This window comes from Homo sapiens, chromosome 2 (genome assembly GCF_000001405.40).
Source record: "Homo sapiens chromosome 2, GRCh38.p14 Primary Assembly".
NCBI lineage: Eukaryota > Metazoa > Chordata > Mammalia > Primates > Hominidae > Homo > Homo sapiens.
In genome coordinates, this window is record NC_000002.12 from 13837605 (window position 1) to 13858365 (window position 20761).

At 36.2% G+C, this 20761-nt stretch overlaps 1 long non-coding RNA gene across 1 annotated transcript in view; it reads left to right on the forward strand.

Annotated features, from left to right (window-relative positions):
* Positions 1–257: 257 nt before the first annotated feature.
* LOC107985854 (uncharacterized) overlaps positions 258–20761 on the forward strand; it is a 71840-nt gene continuing 51336 nt past the window's right edge. The window contains exon 1 of the long non-coding RNA XR_001739296.1: positions 258–352. This is a non-coding gene — a long non-coding RNA (uncharacterized LOC107985854). The remainder of the gene's footprint in view (positions 353–20761) is intronic.

Consider the following 20761-nt stretch of genomic DNA (forward strand, 5'->3'; position numbering starts at 1 on the left):
CTAACCTCAAATGTCTTTCTTTACAAAGATTGGTTTGCTAAGACTTATGATGTTTTTATTTTTGTTTTTTGTTTTTTTTTTCCAGAATGATACGGTTTGGCTGTGTCCCCACCTAAATCTCACCTTGAGTTCCTATGTGCTGTGAAAGGGACCTGATGGGAGGTAACTGAATCATGGGGGCAGGTCTTTCCTGTGCTCATGATAGTGAGTAAGTCTCAAGAAATCTGATGGTTTTTACAAGGGGGAATTTTCCTGCACAAGCTCTCTTTGCCTGCTGCCACCCATGTAAGACGTGACTTGCTGCTCATTGCCTTCTGCCGTGATTGTGAAGCTTCCCCAGCAACGTGGAACAGTAAGTCCAATAAACTTCTTTCTTTTGTAAATTGCCCAGTCTCTGGTATGTCTTTATTAGCAGTGTGAAAACGGACTAATACACAGAATAAAAGTAACTTCAACATGTTTCATTTTCTCTTGGAAAAGTGCTATGCTTAAAAAGATTGTTGCCAAATTTATCTTTCAAAATACAAGTCAGATGTTTTAATTACTGTCTTCAGATGATTTCAGTGAGTCCTCAATATTAAAATAATAAAGCAAAACTTCTTTAAATCTTTCAAGCCACTAGAGAGCTTGCTGTTTTTTTTTTTAGCTGTTTAGTCTTATCTCAATACTGTCGCTATAACTAATTTTCTATCAACATTACACTGTCCATACAATTCCTGACAAATAAAGAACACAGGAAGACAAGCAGGTTCCTCCCCGCAACACCCGACTTTCTTTGATTTCTAAGATAGGACAAGAAAGTCTGATTCATACCAAACAAGAAACTTCTGAAAACATGATGCTGAGCTTCACAAGTCTCAAGGCTGAGCTGAGTTGTTTACTCATCTAATAGGGACTGCAAGGCCCTCTTGAGCTGGGCATTCGAAACTTCAGTGCATATTTAACTACGCACATATTTAGCACCAGTACAGTCTTTTTAAACTAACTTGGAAAAATCTTTCACTAACCAAACCTTGTAACTGATTTGCATCCTGGGTCACTAGCCATGTGTGTTGTACTGCATTGCTACATATCTGTGAAAGTGTGGCTTAAAATGAACACATTTTAATAAATTAAAAATCACACCCCTAGTTCAGTTCCCCCAATAATATAATAATAAACAAAGTTTTGAGTAGCTTCTGGATAAGGTTGAAGAACAGAGATCAGATTTACCTTCCTACTTGATACAAAAAAGAAAAAAAAAACTGGACAAAACTAAGGAAACAATGGTTTCAAGCCATCAGGCAACAAAAGATGGCAACATCTGAGACAGGAAATAGATGATGAGAAAAGAAGCACAGACTAAAATACAAGAAGAGAGAACATGAATATGGTTGTAAACCAAAAGAGGTTCTCAAATAAACAGCACACTTTTACAATATCTTAAAAAAGGGTATCCTCTATCATAAATCCTGAGGACAAATCAATGTATTACCCTGTTAAGGAATGCAAGGTCTATATGAGTGCTGAAGGAGTTACTGTATTCTCCATGTAGCAAATATTAGGTTGGTGCAAACATAATTGTGATTTTTGACATTACTTTTAATGGCAAGAACCACAATAACTTTTGCACCAACTTAATACTTCAATGGGAACATTAAATTTCCTTGAGCAGTATAACCTATTTCTGTGACAATATTCTAAGACTTAAACTGTTAGAGCGATGTTTCCTATTCTGACGACCATGAGGTGATATTGTTATTAGTCCTCACTCTGATGATGCTCCAAGTCCTAAATTTAAGTCTTAAGGTTTGATAAATGCCAAGTCCTATTTAAGCTCTTGTGAACCTGATCTACATCAAGAAGGCTATAAGGTCTAACAGTTAGGAAACTTATACTTCATTTTATCGCCCAACGTATTAGGTCAACAACTGTACATTTTTAAAAGTCTTTATTCCCCCCCACCCCGCAATATTTAAGCAGGATATTTTATTGTCTCAGATTCTGACAAAAATTTTATCACCTGAAATGTAACAAGATGGAAAAAAATAATGCACGATTCTTGTTTTTTTATATTCTTCTGTTTAGTGTAATATCATCTGATTACAAAAAGTTCTGTATTTTCATGCAATTTTTTAAATGTATTCTTATTGTCCAATTATGTGAGATGTATGGGTAAACTTGATACAAACATCTTATACAGGTTAATATATTTAGTTAGAAATGTGTATTTGGCACCTCTTATGTGCCAGGAAATGTTCTCAGTGCTAGTTAAAAAGTGATTTTGATGCACCCAAATTCCTAACTATATGAGGTGAATGAATATGTTAATTAGCTTGATTGTTATAATCATTTAATAATATATTTATATATAAAATAGCAAAACATTGTATACATTAAATATATACAATTTTTATTTGCCAAGTATTCTTCAATACAGCAAGGGAAAAATGAATATACTATCTGTATCAGTCAGGGCACAAACAGTGAACAGAAACGAAACAGAAGTTTGAACAGAGAAGATTTCATACAAAGTGTTTTTAACCGTAATAGGAAACTGGAGTAATGAGGTATTGGCTAGAAGAAGTAAGGAGAACCCTAAGCAGTGTGGGGCTAGCAGACATAAGAAGCCATCACTATATCTTGGGCTGAGATAGTGTGCCCAAGGAGGAGGCTGCGCCCCCAACCCCAAAGTCTGGAGGTCATAAACAAGGCCCACTATATAGTAGAAAAGTCACTGTGCTAGCAGAAATTAAACATGTTTTCTAGGGTTCTAGGGAAGGTTTCATGGTGTGGGGGACGGGGTATCCCTGTCTCACCACAAGCTACTAAACTACCAAGGGCAGGAGTGTTTTCCATAGGGTGACTAACTTGTCCTGGCTTGTCCAAAAATGCCTATTTTTAAAGTATAAAGTCCCATATGCCACAAACACCCGCAGTCTTGAGCAAACCAGTATGGTTGGTCATCTGGATTTCTGATAACAGCTTCTGGCCACTAGGAGCTTGTGGCTGCTGAGCACTGCAGATGCTGAGCACTGGAGAAACTGCACACACTACGAGAGCCTGGCACTAGAACTTTGCCCATGTTGCAGACACTGGGCACTGAGGAAGCCATGGGTGCTGCAGGAGGTGAATGCTGGAAAAGCCACACACATTGCAAGAGCCAGCTGACAGTGCAGAATTAAGGCTTGGAGAAATTATGTCATGGGGATATATTAAAGAATGTGACATCATATCACATTTCACCTCCTTCATATTAAAGAAGATGATATACTTCAGAAATGCAGTAACTAAAAATGACCCTAATTAATTTCATTCCTTGGGACAATTTCATTGACTCTTCCAATTAGTGAATAATTCCAGTACTCCCCAACAAGGTTCTGCACAAAGGACAACCATACATGTGTTTTTTGAAATGGGACTGGAAAGTCAATAGACAATATCTTACCTGGGGTTGGGCTAGTGGCATTGATCGTGGACTCTCAGATTCCTTGAGAACACATGAACGCTGCTGCATGAAACTAGCAAACCACTGGCTACTTAGAGGGTTTAGCAGAAGACGTAGAGCGGCAAGACAAGTAAGCAACATGCTTTTCTGGGTCGAGCTGGGTAAGAAGATTTTGTAAGGACCCATGCAGCTCCCTAGTGTCTTGATACTTGTGGGGGCTGGAGAAATGTCTGTCGTGTACTACCAACTGGTCACAAATAAGCATGAGTGTTTTCATGAGCCTCCTAGATATATGTGTATCTCTTAACTCCACAATCTAAGATTACAAAGTAAGAAACAGGCAAGCTCACCAGCTAGAATCAGAGCATAAAAGCACTGACATCAAGGTCCAAACTGCCCGCACCTGTGGCAATTGACTAAACTCCAGGAAAACAGAATCCATTATTGACCCACGAAACAGACTTCCCACTAAGAAGGAGTAAGCAGGCTCCTTGTAGAGAAAGCAACCAAGCCTGGAAGGCTTTTAACTTACCTCCTTCACAAGCAGCTGAAATAATGAAGCAATGTTGTCCAGCTCACTGTCCTGCAGAGAGGAAGAAGACCTAAAATCAGTTTGAACAAAGTCAAAGGAAATCCAAAAATTGACAAGGAAGTAAGTTAATGTTATCTGAGTGACCCTTATTCGTGAGTTAAGAACTTCTATAACTTTACATTTCATACTGCATTTCCTCCTAACAATTTTGTGAGTTACATTTTATTATCCTCATTTTACAAGTGAAAAAGGCGAGGCTCCTGGAGTTGAAGGAAATTGACCAATTTTTCAAGAACTAATAAGTGTCAGACCCTGGAGTCACACAACATTCTCTTCTCTAATGGGCTATGAGTAGACATGGCCCTTATTTTGACTTAAAATAATAATCAATAGAAAAGAATAAGAGTAAAGTACATTATATTATACTTGCTTTTGTTTATGAATAAGATAATGCTTCAAAAGAAAACACAATTGTAGAATTCAGGAAATCACTTCAATGAATATTCTATCCTCTGGGTGTTCCCAGAGGGAGGAAGAAACTGCCACATTCTCTGGCCACCTTGACTTCTCTCCAATGCCTTTAAATAGATTTTTAAAATCGTATCTAGTTTTCTAGTTCTTCCTGATGTGAAGTTTGCTGTGCTGCAAACTAGTTAATCATAGTCAGAATTGAAAGATAAACAATTTTTAGAAGGAAATTGGTCATTATCTGACTGACTTTTAATTATGTGCATATATTAAGCTAGTACATACACTTCTAAAATTTGTCCTAAACACAAGTCACATATATGTATGAAAACATATGTGGAAAGGTTTTACTGTATTTTTCCACAATAAAAAAATTAGAAAATATTTAAATTATTTCAATAGAAGAGTTGTATTATATACATGATAGTATATTTATTCAATGGAATATTATGCATCAATTATAAAGAATGGAAATAAAATTACATTATATTAACATTGACAAATCATAAAGGGATCCTTATTTCTTACCTTATATGAAAATCAACTCAAGATGGGTTAAAGACTTAAATCTAAGAACTGAAACTATAAAAATTCTAGAAGATAACATTGGAAAAACCATTCTAAACATTGGCTTAGGCAAGAATTACATGACCAAGAAGCCAAAAGGAAATGCAACAAAAACAAAGATAAATAGTTGGGACTTAATTAAACTCAAGAGCTTTTGCACGGCAAAAGGAACAGTCAGCAGAGTACAGGGACAACCCACAGAGTGGAAGAAAATCGTCACAAGCTATACATCTGACGAAGGACTAATATCCAAAATCTATAACAAACTCAAGCAAATCAGTAAGAAAAAAACAAACAATCCCACCAAAAAGTGGGTTAAGGACCTGAAAAGACAATTCTCGAAAGAAGATATACAAATGGCCAACAAACATGAAAAAATGCTCAACATCACTGATGATCAGGGAAATACAAATCAAAATCACAATGTGATACCACCTTACTTCTACAAGAATGGCAATAATTGAAAACTCAAAAAACACTAGATGTTGGCGTGGATATGGTGATCAGGGAATGCTTCTACACTGCTGGTGGGGATGTAAACTAGTACAACCACAATGGAAAACAGCGTGGAGTTTCCTTGAAGAACTAAAAGTAAAACTACCATTTGATTCAGCAATTCCACTTCTGGGTATCTAGCCAGAGGAAAAAAAAAGTCATTATACCAAAAAGATATTTGAACACGCATGTGTACAGTAGCACAATTTGCAATTACAAAATCATGGAACCAACCAAAATGCCCATTAATCAATGAGCGGATAAAGAAACTGCAGTATATTGATATGATGGAATATTACTCAGCCATAAAAAGGAATGAATTAAAGGCATTTTCAGTGACCTGGATGAGATTGGAGACTATTATCCTAAGTGAAGTAACTCAGGAATGAAAACCAAACTTAGTATGTTCTCATTGATATGTCGGAGCTCAGCTATGAGGACGCAAAGGCATCAGAATAATACAATGGACTGTGGGGACTTGGGGTAAGAGTAGGGAGGTGAGAGATAAAAGACTACAAATATGGTGCAGTGTATCCTACTTGGGTGATGGGTGCACAAAAATCTCACAAATCACCACTAAAGAACTTACTCATGTAGCCAAATACCACCTGAAGCCCAATAACTTATGGAATAAAAAGGTTAATTATTGAGTGTAGGAGTTGTTTCATAGCAATAAATACAGTAAGTTCCACTAATGTAAAGTAAAAAGGTATGAGTGTATTTAATGTATAAAATGTAGACAAGATGTAATGCTTTTCAAAATAGTCTTTAATGAAGACACATATTTTATTTTTTAATTTTAAAAGTTGGCAGGCCAGCCCTTTTATAAAATTTGATTAAAATGAATAACTGATTACATCTTTTATTACCATGAGAATGTCAATTGCTATAAAAGTTTCTAAACATCTCTGTAGACTGAAAACTACCCTTTCCTAGGCTGGCATAGCCCATCAACTGCCCTTCAAGTAGCATAGATTAAGACTTTCCGCAAACTACCGTAAGTAATTTTAGGCATGATTGGTAGTGAAAGTTAGACCATACATTAAATTGAATTGTTAAAAATCTTATAAGCTTAGTATACACGTTTTTGTTACTTGCATACAAAATATTTAAAGGAGAGTTATCCACTATTTTATTGGTATGGTCTGATCTGTCCCAGCTATTATATATGTGATTTCTTCAAACATGCAATTTTTTTATTTTTCGTTTATTAATTTTAAAGAAATGTATTAACCTCTAATTATAATACATTCTCTGTACTGGATCCTTTTCTTAGGCATCAATTCTGAATGAAGTATCTTCTTTTGTAGACTTATTTTTAGCGTATAAATTTAATTCTAAAGCAATTGACCTCAGACCTCTCCACATTGTATATTTATCATGTAACATAAAATCAATGATCAAAGATACAGTGAATTTTAAAAATGCATTGTAGTATTTCTCTTCAGTTGAAGTAATCACTTTGAAAGTGTGCATTGTTGAATAATGGCCGAGCATACTTATCTTCCTGAATCAGCTGCCAAGGAGACCAGGAACCAACTTTCAGTGATTACTGAAATGCATATCAACAAGTGTCTTTTCCTTTTTTCTATTTATTTAAGACCTATATTTTGTGGACCCACAGTAAACTAGTATAATATATTATATCATAGTTGGTTGATATCAGCTGTCCTTCCATGTACATATACGTGGCTCTTCGAATAAAAATGTGGAGTCTAATTCTCCCCTTGAATTTGGGCTGTTAGGAACTTATAGATTGCAGTTAAAGTCATGCTGTGAGACTTTGAGGCTATATCATAAAACGGGCATTTTGACTCTTTATGTCTCATTTATTTATGTATTCATTCACTCACTAATTTATTTGTGCAGCAAACACAAACAAATATCTGTTACATTTTGTGATGTTGAAAGAGCCGTAATATTACCAAGCAATCAACACGCTCTTTGCCTGATGTGCATAGAGGCGAATACCATGGTATGGGCTTTCAACCAAGGAAAAGCTTTATTTCTAGTCAACTGGCAAGCAGACAAGAGGATATGCTCAAATCTGTCTCCCTAAGCTCGAGTTTGGGTCAGCTTTTATAAACATAGGATAGTGAAATGTAATCTGATTGGATCTTATAATGAGGTGGTGCTGAGGGGCATGATCTGACTGGTCCTGCCATGAGATTACACCAGAGCTTGATCTGACTGAATCCTGGATGCTCCCATGGGGTGTCCATTTCTAAATTCAGTCCGCGCTCCTCAGACTGAGCACTTAGGGTCCCCCTGTGGCTGTACACTTGCTACATCTGGGCGTGCTCAGGTTGCATGACTTTCAACCTGAGAGTCCATGGCAACTATAAAACAACTCATAACTTTGTAATGTAAAAGTTGTAGCAGATTGGCCTGATGCAGTTAAAATAGCTCTGAACAGACATGTACTTATCACCGTATTAATGTAATCCATGTAAGTGCAGATTTTTCTGGCACTCAAGAAAAGGGATACTGATAGTCTTCTCCCAAATAATCAAACACCATTGATACGTTTGATACTTCCTAAATTTATATGTACACATAAGTGTATTACTGTATGATTCATACCTATGCTATCAGCTACCTGCTGAATACACCACCATGAAGATATTTTATTGGTTAGCTCAGACATGATAAATCAATGATGTTTTTCCTCTCAAATCTGTGTTTCATTATGTATTTTTTATATTGGTGAATGTTAGAAGTATTCACACATTTGCTCAGGTCAACCTTTATTCATCCCTTTGCCTAATAATGAGTCAGTGACCAAATCCAGTTAATTTGGTGTTCTCAAATATCTCTCCCAATTATCTCAATACCCCATCTCCTCAAATTATCTATAGACTCCCATGTTTTCTATAATTGAATATTAAAATAACTCTTTATATTATTCTGTCTCAAGTCCATTTGGAACATGACAGCTTGTGTTGCATTTTTCCCCCCAAAGTTAAAATGTGTTAGATCCCTGTCTTGATTAAAACGTTTCAGTAGTTTCCCATTGTGTTCATTGTGAATTCTACTCCATAGCACAGGATGTGTAAGACATTTATGATCTAACCTTTCCTAATTATTTCAGATCTGTCCGTCAGCTTGTATTCCCTCACATGCAAAGTTTCAATCAAGCTAAACCTGCTCTTCCCAACACTTATCATCCTCTGTTACCTCTTGGCTTATGCATTTGGCATTTGCTATGCTGAATATTTAAACTTCTCCTATTCATTTTTGCCTGGTTAAATTTCATTCTTCCCTAATTACTCAGCTTAGATGTTACCTTCTAGTGAAGAAATCTCTGAGCATTTAAATGTATTTTATTGGTTTCTCTATAGTATTTTAGCACCTTACGTACTTTCGCACAGTGCTAGTATCTAGCAGACAAATAGTCAATAGTAACAATTACTATTATTTATATTTAGTGGCTACAGTTGTGACCACATCAACAAATGTAAAAGAAAAACTAATAGACTAGAAGGAAATGCAGTGAAAATTATTGCAGTTGTAAAGTATAAAAAAAGTTTTCGCAAAAATAAGCTTATATTGAAATAAAAAAGATGCATTGAAATTTTTTCAAATGAAAAAGATTTGCTCTTTGAAAATCACTATTAAAAATGAAAAGGCAAGCTAGAGACTTGGATAAAATATTTGCAACACCTATTTAAGAGGACTTGTATCCTAAATATATAAAGCCCTCTTTTAATATGATAACATAAAAACAATATACAAAATGGGCAAAGATTTTAAGAGACTCTATAAAGAAATATGGATAGTTTTTGCCAGTTTCACTGGGGAATGGGTATGCAGAGTTCCTTATGTGGTCATACCAGAATTTAATATTTTAGGGGGTGTTTTTAATATTATTTTACCAGTATAAGTAGACTTTGTTTAACAATAAAATTTTTAATGGATTTCCAGAGTGTTTACAGACAATTTTCAGTTATTTTATTGAGAAGCTATATTGACTTATTTTCCAGTGACACAAAATGTAATGCATTTACTAAAATTTCAGGTGCTCTTTTCTTTACTCTTATTTATTTCTTTTTTTATTTTCATTTTTTCAGAGGTTTGCCAATCAGAACTTTGAATTTAATTTTGTAAAAAAGAAAACAAAGAAAGTCAAATAAGCAGGCTGTGTGCTTTTTCTTCCTACAAGACTGCTATCATCTGGGTAACCATGCAGTCCTTCTGGATGAAACTCAACAAATCTTGAGTATGACAGACCATCTTCAATATGAATGTCTATCACTAATTTGTTATTTTTTCCAGTTAATTCAAGGACACCGTACTCTATTCTACCCATTGTCTCTTTTGCATTGAACCCACCATTATATTTATAAAAATGATAGTTTCACTCCAGAGAACTGGAAACATAAAACATTTTATATGTACCTACAACATATGCTGCATACATGGACAGAAATTAAATTGATTTCCTTTATTCCTTGATCCTTATTTTCAACATCAGGGATGAAGCAGGAGTTTAAATATGTACATTTATGTGCACATGTGGAAAATATGCTAATTGAAAAAGTCATAGATATGGAAAATATGCCACAGTTCTCATTTTTAACTTACTGTTCATGGAATCTAAAAATATGATAACTACTACCTTGGTAGATGGAGTGGCAGGGGGGCCTGTTATTTTTGAGGCTGCTATCCATGGGGAAAAATAATTAAGAATTGATACATAAATCAGAGAGAAAATGAAGAATTTGCTGTCATAAAATTTATGAAACATAGAGTTTGAAAATGACTGATAGTATTTACTGAGTACATGTTATTTGCCAAGCAAGGGGCAAGTAAGGAACTAAGTAGTTTATGCAAGATAATTACCTTAATTTTCACAAGAATGTGAGGCATAAATTTTAATTATGGCCTTTTTACAGATGATCAAACTGAGGTCATGAGAGGTTAAGGAACTTATCTGAATTCACATGAAGCTGAAATGCATCGTACGTAGCTTAGAGACTAACAGTTACAACAAAAATGTTCAAGAGGATGTGTTGCTTTTAAGATAACAAAGCTATACCTATTGAACAATTTGCAATTCCCATCTGATAATGATGATCACGATTGTAAGCGTGTGCATGTATATAATGTGTAAGTTGTGTGCACCTACACATAGTTGTGTGTGTGTGTGTTTTAGTATATAAATAGGTATGGCATACCTGCACAGATGTAGTTATATACACACTTAATATGTATATGGGTAGAGAGAAAGGACAGAGAAACAAATATGGAAAGTGCAAATAAAGGCTCTGAAAACAATGAAGTGAAACAGATTTTGATTTGTATTGATTAATGGATTTAGTGATACTATTATCTCCCTGCTGAAAATAAACTGACTCTAATAATTCAAATTACAGCTATTTGGAAATCATGAAGTTTATGAAGTATTTGAAGATACTGACAAAATTTGCTTTTGCCAGGTCAGAGCAAACTTTGCCAAATAAAGTTGAATAAAATTGACATAATACTAATAACTTAATGAAAATAATAGAATACATTGTTTTACACCTTACTAAGAGTGTATACTGTGGAGATACAATGCTAATGAGATGTGCAAACTAATCTCAGTGAGACAGCCGATATTGCATTTTGTCCTGTAAAATTTGAAACTAATAGCATGCAGACAACATTCTTGGCTTTCAAACTAAAGTTAAATGGTAGTGCCTATTGAGAAAGTCATGGGCGCTGCGGGCTCAATATTGGTCATTAGAGATGTATAATTGAGCTACAATTATGGTAAACATGTGACAGTTTTTTAAAACACTGGCAACCTAAGAAAATATATCTTTATAATAAAATGTATTTCCTAAATTTCAAATTGTGGATAACTTAAATTTTTGAAAATCTATAATAATTTGCCAAGGAATATAAAAATTACAGAATGACAAATCATCAATTAAATATAAGATCCAAGTTTTAGATTTAAAAAAATCTTTGTAACCATAGTGTGTTTTAATTGCATTTTCATGATTCATTTAAATTCTAACTATTTTAGAAATAAGCCACATAATATGCTATGGTACAATACAAACCATTCCAGCACCAGGGGAGTTGGTTTTGCTCTCAGTTTAAGGGCTGGAACTTATCTTGTGGGAATGTGATAAAATTATTCTTAACTCTAAGGGATTTTCTAACTCTTTGCATAGAATAGCCTTTTTGTTTCATTACAGTATGATTATTGAGAAAGGAACCTGGTTTAGAGAAAGATTTTCCCAAATTATGAGCATTTTTTAATTTTTAATTTTAATTATTATGGCTGCATAATAGTGATACATATTAATGGGATACATATGATATTTTGATGCAAGCATGCAATGTATAATGATCAAATCAGGGTAATTGGGGCAGGCATCACCTTAAACATTTATCATTTCTTCGTGTTAAGAATATTCCCATTTTGGTTTTGATTTGCATTTCTCTAATGACCAGTGATGATGGGCTTTTTTTCATATGTTTGTTGGCAGCATAAATGTCTTCTTTTGAGAAGTGTCTGTTCATATTCTTTTCTCACTTTTTGATGGGGTTGTTTGGTTTTTTTCTTGTAAATTTGTTCAAGTTCCTTGTAGATTCTGGATATTAGACTTTTGTCAGATGGGTAGATTGCAAGGCTGTGGAGAAATAGGAACGCTTTTACACTGTTGGTGTGAGTGTAAATTAGTTCAACCATTGTGGAAGACAATGTGGCGATTCCTCAAGGATGTAGAAACAGAAATACCATTTGACCCAGCAATCCCATTACTGGGTATATACCCAAAGGATTATAAATCATTCTACTATAAAGACACATGCACACATATGTTTATTGCAGCACTATTTACAATAGCAAAGTCTTGGAACCAACCCAATGCCCATTAATGATAGACTGGATAAAGAAAATGTGGCACATATACACCATGCAATACTATGCAGCCATGAAAAAGGATGAGTTCATGTCCTTTGCAGGGACATGGATGACGCTGGAAACCATCATTCTCAGCAAACTAACAAAGGAGCAGAAAGCCAAACACCGCATGTTCTCGCTCGCATGTGGGAGTTGAACAACGAGAACACATGGACGCAGGGAGGGGAACATCACACATCAGGGCCTGTTTGGGGGTTAGGGGCAAGAGGAGGGAGAGCATTAGGACAAATACCTAATGTATGCGGGGCTTAAAACCTAGATGATGGGTTGAAGCAAACCACCATGGCACATGTATACCTATGTAACTAACCTGCACATTCTGCACATGTATCCCAGAACTTAAAGTAAAATTAAAAAAAATAAAATCCCGGAGGAGGCAGAGCATGAGTGAATAAAAGCCTCCACAGATTGTCCTCCTGGCAGGAATACCAAACTGAACTACAATCCACACAACAAAGCACCTTCATAATAACCAAAAATCAGGTTAGCTATCATAGTACCTGGTTTTAATATCATATCAAGGAAAGGCACTGAAGAGGGTAGAAAAGACAGTGTGAATTGCTGGCATCACTCCACCCTCATCTTTTTGCAGTGGCCACGCTACTCAGAGAGAGAATCTAAGTGCTTTGAGAAGAGAGAGCACAGTAATTGTGGGACTTTGCATTGGAACCCCGTGTTGCCCTGTAACAGGGGAAAGCAACACCAAGCAGAACTCAGCTGACACCCACAGAGGGAGAATTAGACCAGCCCTATCCACGGGGCAATCACTCATCTCAGCAGTTGGGACCTGAGTTCTAGCTAGCCCCACTACCATGAGATAAAGGGCTCTGGGTTCCTGAATAAACTTGAGAGGCAGTCTAGGCCACAGAATTGCAATCTCAGACAAGGCCTGGAGTTGTTCTGGGCTTGGACCCATGGACTTGTGGGGCATGCAATCCAGTGAGACACCAACTGGGAAGGTCCAGGGAATGAATACAAGTTGTAGGCAGGAAGTAGTCACCATGAGCCTGGGGTGGTGGTGGCCACAGGGAGAGACTATTCTACTTGTATAAAGGGGAAGGAAGAGTGGGAAGGATTTTGTCTCATGGTTTGGGTGCCAGCTCAGCCACAGTAAAACAGAGCATCAGGTAGATTCCTAAGGTTTGTGACTTCAGGCCCTGGCTCCGGATGGCATCTTGGAGACCACCAGGAACTGGAGAGAACTCATTGCCCTGAAGAAAAGGACATGATCCTGGCTGGCTTTGCCAACTGCTGATTGTAGGGCTCTGAGGCCTTGAGTGAACACAGGCAGTACCAAAGCAGTGGTTATCACAAGCCTTGGGTGAGACCGAGTGCTGTGATGGTTTAGATCTGACCCAGCACAGTCGCAGGGGTGGTGGCCACAAGGGTGCTTCTGTCACTCATCCCCCAGCTCCAGCAAGATCAGGAAAGAGAGAGAGAGAGAGAGAGAGACAGAGACAGAGACAGAGAGAGAGTTGGTTTGGGAGAAAGTAAGGGAAGAGAACAAGAGTCTCTGCCTGGTAATCCAGAGAATTCTCCTGGATCTTATTCAAGATCACCAAGGTGGTACCTCTACAAATATGCAATAGCCACAACACTACTGGCTGTGTAGCAGTAGATATGGCTGCAGTGACCAAAGATGTAGATTACAACACCCAATTCCTTTTGAAGACCTGGAAAGCTTTCCCAAGAAGGATGGGTACAACCAAGGCCAGGCAGCAAAGACTAAAATAATACCAAACTCTTAAATGCCCAGACACTCTTGAACATCCACAAGCATCAAGACCATCCAGGAAAACTAGTCCATTTGGTGAAGCCATGTTTTCCTGGATAGTCTTGATGCTTGCGGTTGTTCAAGAGTGTCCAAGATTGGAGTGACCAATTGGAGAGACAGAGATATGTGACTTCTTGGACAGAAAATTCAAAAGAGCTATTTTGAGGAATCTCAAAAGAATTCAAGATGATACAGAGAAGGCATTCAGAATCTTATCAGAGAAATTTAACAAAGAGATTAAAATAATTAAAAAGAAATTCCGGAGTTGAAAACACAACTAAAATACTGAAGAATGTATAAGAGTTTCTTAACCGCAGATTCATCAGGCAGAAGAAATAATTATTGAGCTTGAAGACAGGCTATTTGAAAATACACAAATGAGACAAAAGAAAAAGAAATAAAAGAGAAAGAAGCATGCCTACAAAATCTAGAACACAGCCTCAAAAGGGCAAATCTAAGAGTTATTGGTCTTAAAGAAGAAGTAGAGAGAGAGGGATAGAAATTTTATTAAAAGGGATTGTAACAGAGAACATCCCAAAGCAAGACAATGGTATCAATATTCAAGTTCCAAAAAGTCGTATAACACTAAGGAGATTTTGCCCAAGTAAGAATACCAGAAGACATTTAATAATCAACTCCCAAAGGTCAAGGATAAGGAAAATATTTTAAAAGCATCAGGAAAAATATAAGTACAATATGTTATATAACAATTAGTCTCTAATATATCTGGCAGCATTCTCTGTGGAAACCTTATAGGCCAGGAGAGAGTGGCATGACCTATTTAATTTGCTGGAGGAAAAAATAAATGTTGGTGAGGATATGGAGAATAGGGAACCCAAGTACACTGTTGGTGATAATGTAAATTATTACAGCCAGTGTAGAGAACTGTTTAGATGTTCCTCAAAAACTAAAAATAGAACTTTCACATGATTCAGCAATCCCACTGCAAGATATATACCCTAAAAAAGGGAAATCAGTATATCAAAGAGATATCTACACTCCCATGTTTATTATGGCACTCTTCACAGTAGCCAAGATTTGGAAGCTACCTAAGTGTCCATCAGCAGATGAATGTATTAAAGGAAATGTGGTACATATACACAATTGAGTACTATTTGCCCATAAAAATGATTGTGATCCTGTCACTTGCAAACACATGGGTTAATAATATTCTGTGGTGTATATGTACCACATTTTTTAATCCATTCATCCATTGATGGACACTTATGTTGATTTCATATCTTAGTTATTGTGAATAGTGTCATAATAAATATGGGAGTGCAAATATCTCTTTGATATATTGATTTTCTGTTTTTTTTTTTTTTTTGATATTGTATTAGTCCATTTTCATGCAGCTAATAAAGACATACCCGAGACTGGGTAATTTATAAAGAAAAAGAGGCTTAGTGGACTCACAGGTTCACGTGGCTGGGGAGGCCTCACAATCATGGTGGAAGGTGAGGGAAGAACAAAGGCATGCCTTACATGGCATCAGACAAAGACAGAATGAGAACCAAGGGAAAGAGGTTTCCCCTTATAAAATCATCAGACCTCTTGAGATACATTCACTACCAAGAGAACAGTAGGGGGGAAACCACCTCCATGATTCAATTATCTCCCACCAGTTCCCTCCCACAACACACTGGAATTATGGGAGCTATAATTCAAGATGATATTTGCGTGGAGACACAGTCAAACCATATCAGATATGTACCCGGAAGTGAGATTGCTGGGTCATATGAAATCTGAAGGTATGACTTGTGCTTCTTTTAGCAACTTGGCCACCAAGTGTTCTGTTACCCTTCATCACAATACCCAATATCCTCCCTCAAATCTTCAGAGAAACGTACAGCCTCACGTATCATAATTAACATTAACATTTGAGTATGAATTGTGTCAGATACTGTGTTATGCACCTTATTTACATTATTTTAATCTCAAAAATAATTTCATAAGTTAGGGCAGATGTTTTTCTCCATATTTACAGTTGAAACAGATGCTCATGGAAGGCACATAATCTTCCCAGAATAACACAGAAGTGGTGGCATAGCTGGGATTTGAAACCAAGTTTAATTAAATTCATTGTTTATTTTCTTAATGTCTATACTTGATATTTGACATTTTGGTAAAGGGCTATATTGACTATCTGAACTCTTGATATATGGAAAATCTACATTATTACAGACTTTGGTGGAAGTAGACCCTTTCCCTTTTCATCCTTGATAGAAAATGAGAAAGCTTGTTCTTGCTTTTCCAATGTTCTCTTCAATAGGGAACAGGTGTGTGACCCATAGCCTACCACTCTGCCTCACTTGCTCCAAGTGGCAACTCTGAAACACTAATGCAAATAAGAGGAGACTAGAAATAATTAATTGTGTGTTTGTGGAATTAAGAGTTTCATGGTGATCTCTAAATAAAAGATTCATGTTCTATGTAAAGGTGGCTTCTCTGTTTAGCTGAAGAGACATCAAAATATGTTCCCATAACCAGGGATTCTGATCCATGTCCATGACCTGCTAAGAGCTCTATGAGAAGGCTGATCAAAGGGTATCATTCATATGGCCAGGTGCGGTGGCTCACACCTGTAATCCCTGCACTTTGGGAGGCTGAGGCAGGCAGATCACTTGAGGTCACGAGTTCGATTCCAGCCTGACAAACATGGCACAAACCTGTCTTTACTAAAAATACAAAAAATAACCAGGGGTGGTTGTGTGCACCTGCAATCTCAGCTACTCGGGAGACTAAGGCAAGAGAATTGTTTGAACCCAGGAGGCAGAGGTTACAGTGAGCCAAGATTGCACCACTTGCACTCCAGCCTGTGCAGCAGAGGAGACGCCATCTCAAAACAACAACAACAAAAACAAAAAAAGGATATCTTAAATAAGTAAGAAATGACCACTTTTTGGAATATCTATCACAAAATAAAGAACAAGATCACTTTTTTCCTTAAAGCAATATTTAGTTTATTAGCAAAAAAATACACAAGCTGTTTTCATCAGCTTGTATTTTTTCCCCATAATAGATGTACATTTTTTATCTTGGTTGAATGACTCTTGCAAACTCTAGATGGCCTGCCAAACACTTCTTGTTATTCATCGTCGATTCACAAGGTTGTTCTTAACTCTCAGGTAATTATACATTTTTAAAACTTCCTGTCACCATTTTTGAAATGTGTGTAAATAACAGCTGGGCTATTGTTTTAATGTATACTGAAGCACACACAATCCATTTTTATGAAACAAAAAGCTACTGAGTCATTGGCATACCATTTTTTTTCTCTTACTTCTGCTTATAATCTTAAAACTATACAAATTGCCATTGGAGGGGAAAATCTACAGGTATATTGTCAAAGCCATTTTGTTGTCATGTTTCCCATTAGGAAAAAAATGTGTTATCATTAAAAAGGAAGGCTTGTAATAGATAGGCCAACAGAAGCAGTTTCCAGATTAATTTATATAGCTATCATTAGTTGTAATAGGAGCTATCTATGGAAATCCTGCATTTACGTATGAGGACTGGCTGAAGGGAATCAAGAAATTTGAAAACCCATAATATGAAAATTGTAAATTCTCAAAAGGATAAACACAAAAGTGTGAATTTTTTATATGTTTTTTAAAATATATTCATATTATACCATAAAGGAGTGAGGAAGAAGAAGTCTTCTTGTTAGTAGCTTTCTATTGGTATTTAACATATTCTAAACATTTTCACTAAAGTTGATTGAAAAATTCTTATGATAAATGTTTTTGAACACTTTTATGTCAATTTAGGAATCTGGGCACTTTTTGGGCTACCAACTTACATGACACCATCTCTACATTCAAGGATACTAAGTAAAGAGTTCCATAAGTAATTTACTGATAAATATGATATTTAAGGTATATAACTTGAATCACATTTAAAATATAGGTTATTTTAAATGTGAAAAAAGAAAAAAAGAATAATCATACATCAGTGCAAAAAAACACAGCAGAGGTGAAGAATATTGTTGGTCATAGCCAGAGTATATCAGTAGTCATTAAAAAACCAAAAAGGTAAATTGAGACAAAGAAAGAAAAACAAAACTTGAAGCTTTAGAACTGCATGTCCTTTCTCTTTCAGAAAAGGGAGAAAGGGGCTGGAATACAAGGAAGGGAGTCTATGCGTGTCAGAAATGCTTTGGCCTGGCCGGGTGCAGTGGCTCACGTCTGTAATCCCAGCATTTTGGGAGGCCGAGGAAGGCCGATCACGAGGTCAGGAGATTGAGACCATCCTGGCTAACATGGTGAAACCCCATATCTACTTAAAAAAAAAAAAAAAAAATTAGCCTGCGTGGTGGTGGGCGCCTGTAGTCCCAGCTACTCGGGAGGCTGAGTCAGGAGAATGGTGTGAACCCAGGAGGCGGAGCTTGCAGTGAGCGGAGATCATGCCACTGCACTCCAGCCTGGGCGACAGAGCAAGACTCTGTCTCAAAAAAGAAAAAATGATTTGGTCTGTAGCTGATATGTGTGGAGCTTAAGTGATAGAACCACTGTGTGTTAGAAATACAAAGAGTAGGGGACAGAGTGCTTTTATCAGCACATAAGTTTTCCAATTAGCAATGTCAAATGCAGTGTTAATTGAAATTACTGAATATTTTATTTAGCCAAAAATTTCAGCCTTATTATATTGTTAGTGTTGCAAAACATAACGTGAAGATTTGAAACTGAAATTTTGCTTGTTCACACTGATCCTTCCTTTTCCATGGTCTCTCTCCTAACAAACCAGTACATCTACTGCCCCAGAGAAAGAGACAATCTAGTCAGATTAAAACAAAAAATGAGTTGTGAATCTCAATGCATATTTTTAAGCCTTTTGCAGGAGTATTGTTAAAATGCTGTTGTTATTTGTTGCATTTTTAAAATTTTATTGTAGTAAGAACGCTTAGCATGAGAATCTATCCTCTACAGATTTTTAAATTTATGATAAAGTATTGTTATTGTGGTAAGAACACTCAACATGAGATAAGTGCATTCTTAACAAATTTTTAAGTGTACAATAAAGTATTAACATCTATAGGTACAGTGTTGTATAGCAGATCTCTAGAACTTTATTTATGGTGGATAACTGATATTTTATTTTAGTTCAAAAAGCAGAGCATCACTTATTAGAATGAAAGTCAGAAGGCCTCAGAGTTTACAGTCCTCAAACTGTAAATCTGAGAATGCATGATAATGCTAAATATCTTCTTCTCATCCAAAGGAGAAAAGAGTTTTATCACCAAGCATGTATCACAGGAGTAAAATTCAAATGGGCCTTGACTAAAATGTAGAAATGTTGAGTCTCTACAGTTACAATTTCCTACTTTGATTCATTTGGGTCAAATACAAAGAAAGATCAGCAGGAGTGTGAATGAAAATGCATAGGTAAGTATGAAGGTATCTTTGAACAGATAAGGTTTGTGCCTTGTTTATAATGTAAGACCTGCAGATAATGAAAAATTGATAAAATTAGGGTAGAGTAATCCCAATATCTGAGCGAGATACTTAAGGAAATAATGCTGAGGTGATTCAACGGTTCTTAACATTATATAGGAAATCATTTTAACCATCCCCATGTCTGCCGTAAGATCACAGAGATAAAGATGCTGGTAGTGACGGGATGATGATGGTGATCATAATGCCAACAGAGATGTCTACATTCTTAACATCTATTTTTTAAATCCCTCTAACAACTCCCTAATGTATGACCGGTTATTACCCTTATTTAGAGATGAAGAAAATTTGTCACAGCTAGAAATACTGAGAGAAAATCTAGACAGTAGATTCTTAAATTTAGAATGAGAAAAACTAAAAGTGGAAAAGAAAATCTGATAGACAGTCATGATAGAGATGGGGTTATCTGTAGCAAATGAGGCAGGACAGAGAACTGGCAGGATGTTCAAAGTTGTAGTAAAAGCTATGGAAGATCAAGTACATCACACCCACCAGAGGCCTCCTGGCTGAATGACTCATCATAGCCAACAGGGAAAACTAAAGTAGTTAGTTGACTTTCCTCAGTGGTCAGCATAGGCCATCCATGTTTCTCTAAAATAACCAGCAACCTCAAAAACATACTGTGTGATATTTTTATAAAAACTTTATATTCTTAAGCAACAAAGATTCATTTCTCACTATAAATTCTTAGCCATTTGGTTTACAGGAAGGCTTCTGCTCTGTTGTAATCCTTTAGAAACCTAGTAAACAGTAACCACTCATTTTGATGCTCCTAGTTTCTATGCTAGAGAGAAAACTAAAAATCTGCTTGGTTAATCTCACGTTGCATTTAAATGGGCTAGCCAATATATATGTGAATAATATGTCTCTTCAGTGACATGCTACTAATTTGTCTACCACTCATTTACTAATTCAGCGTATGGTCCCACCCAACCACAAAATGTTCCAGGAGGTGAAATTGTATTATGTCTTCAGAAAATAGAGAGCTGGAAATAATTAGTAAACTGTATTTCACTCTTTCGGTTACTAATATTTAGCTCACTTGTTTTTCTAAATAAAAATAGAGTATATGTCATTCCACAAGAGTAAGGACTCAAAATTCCTAGCCAGTTATAATATCAAACAC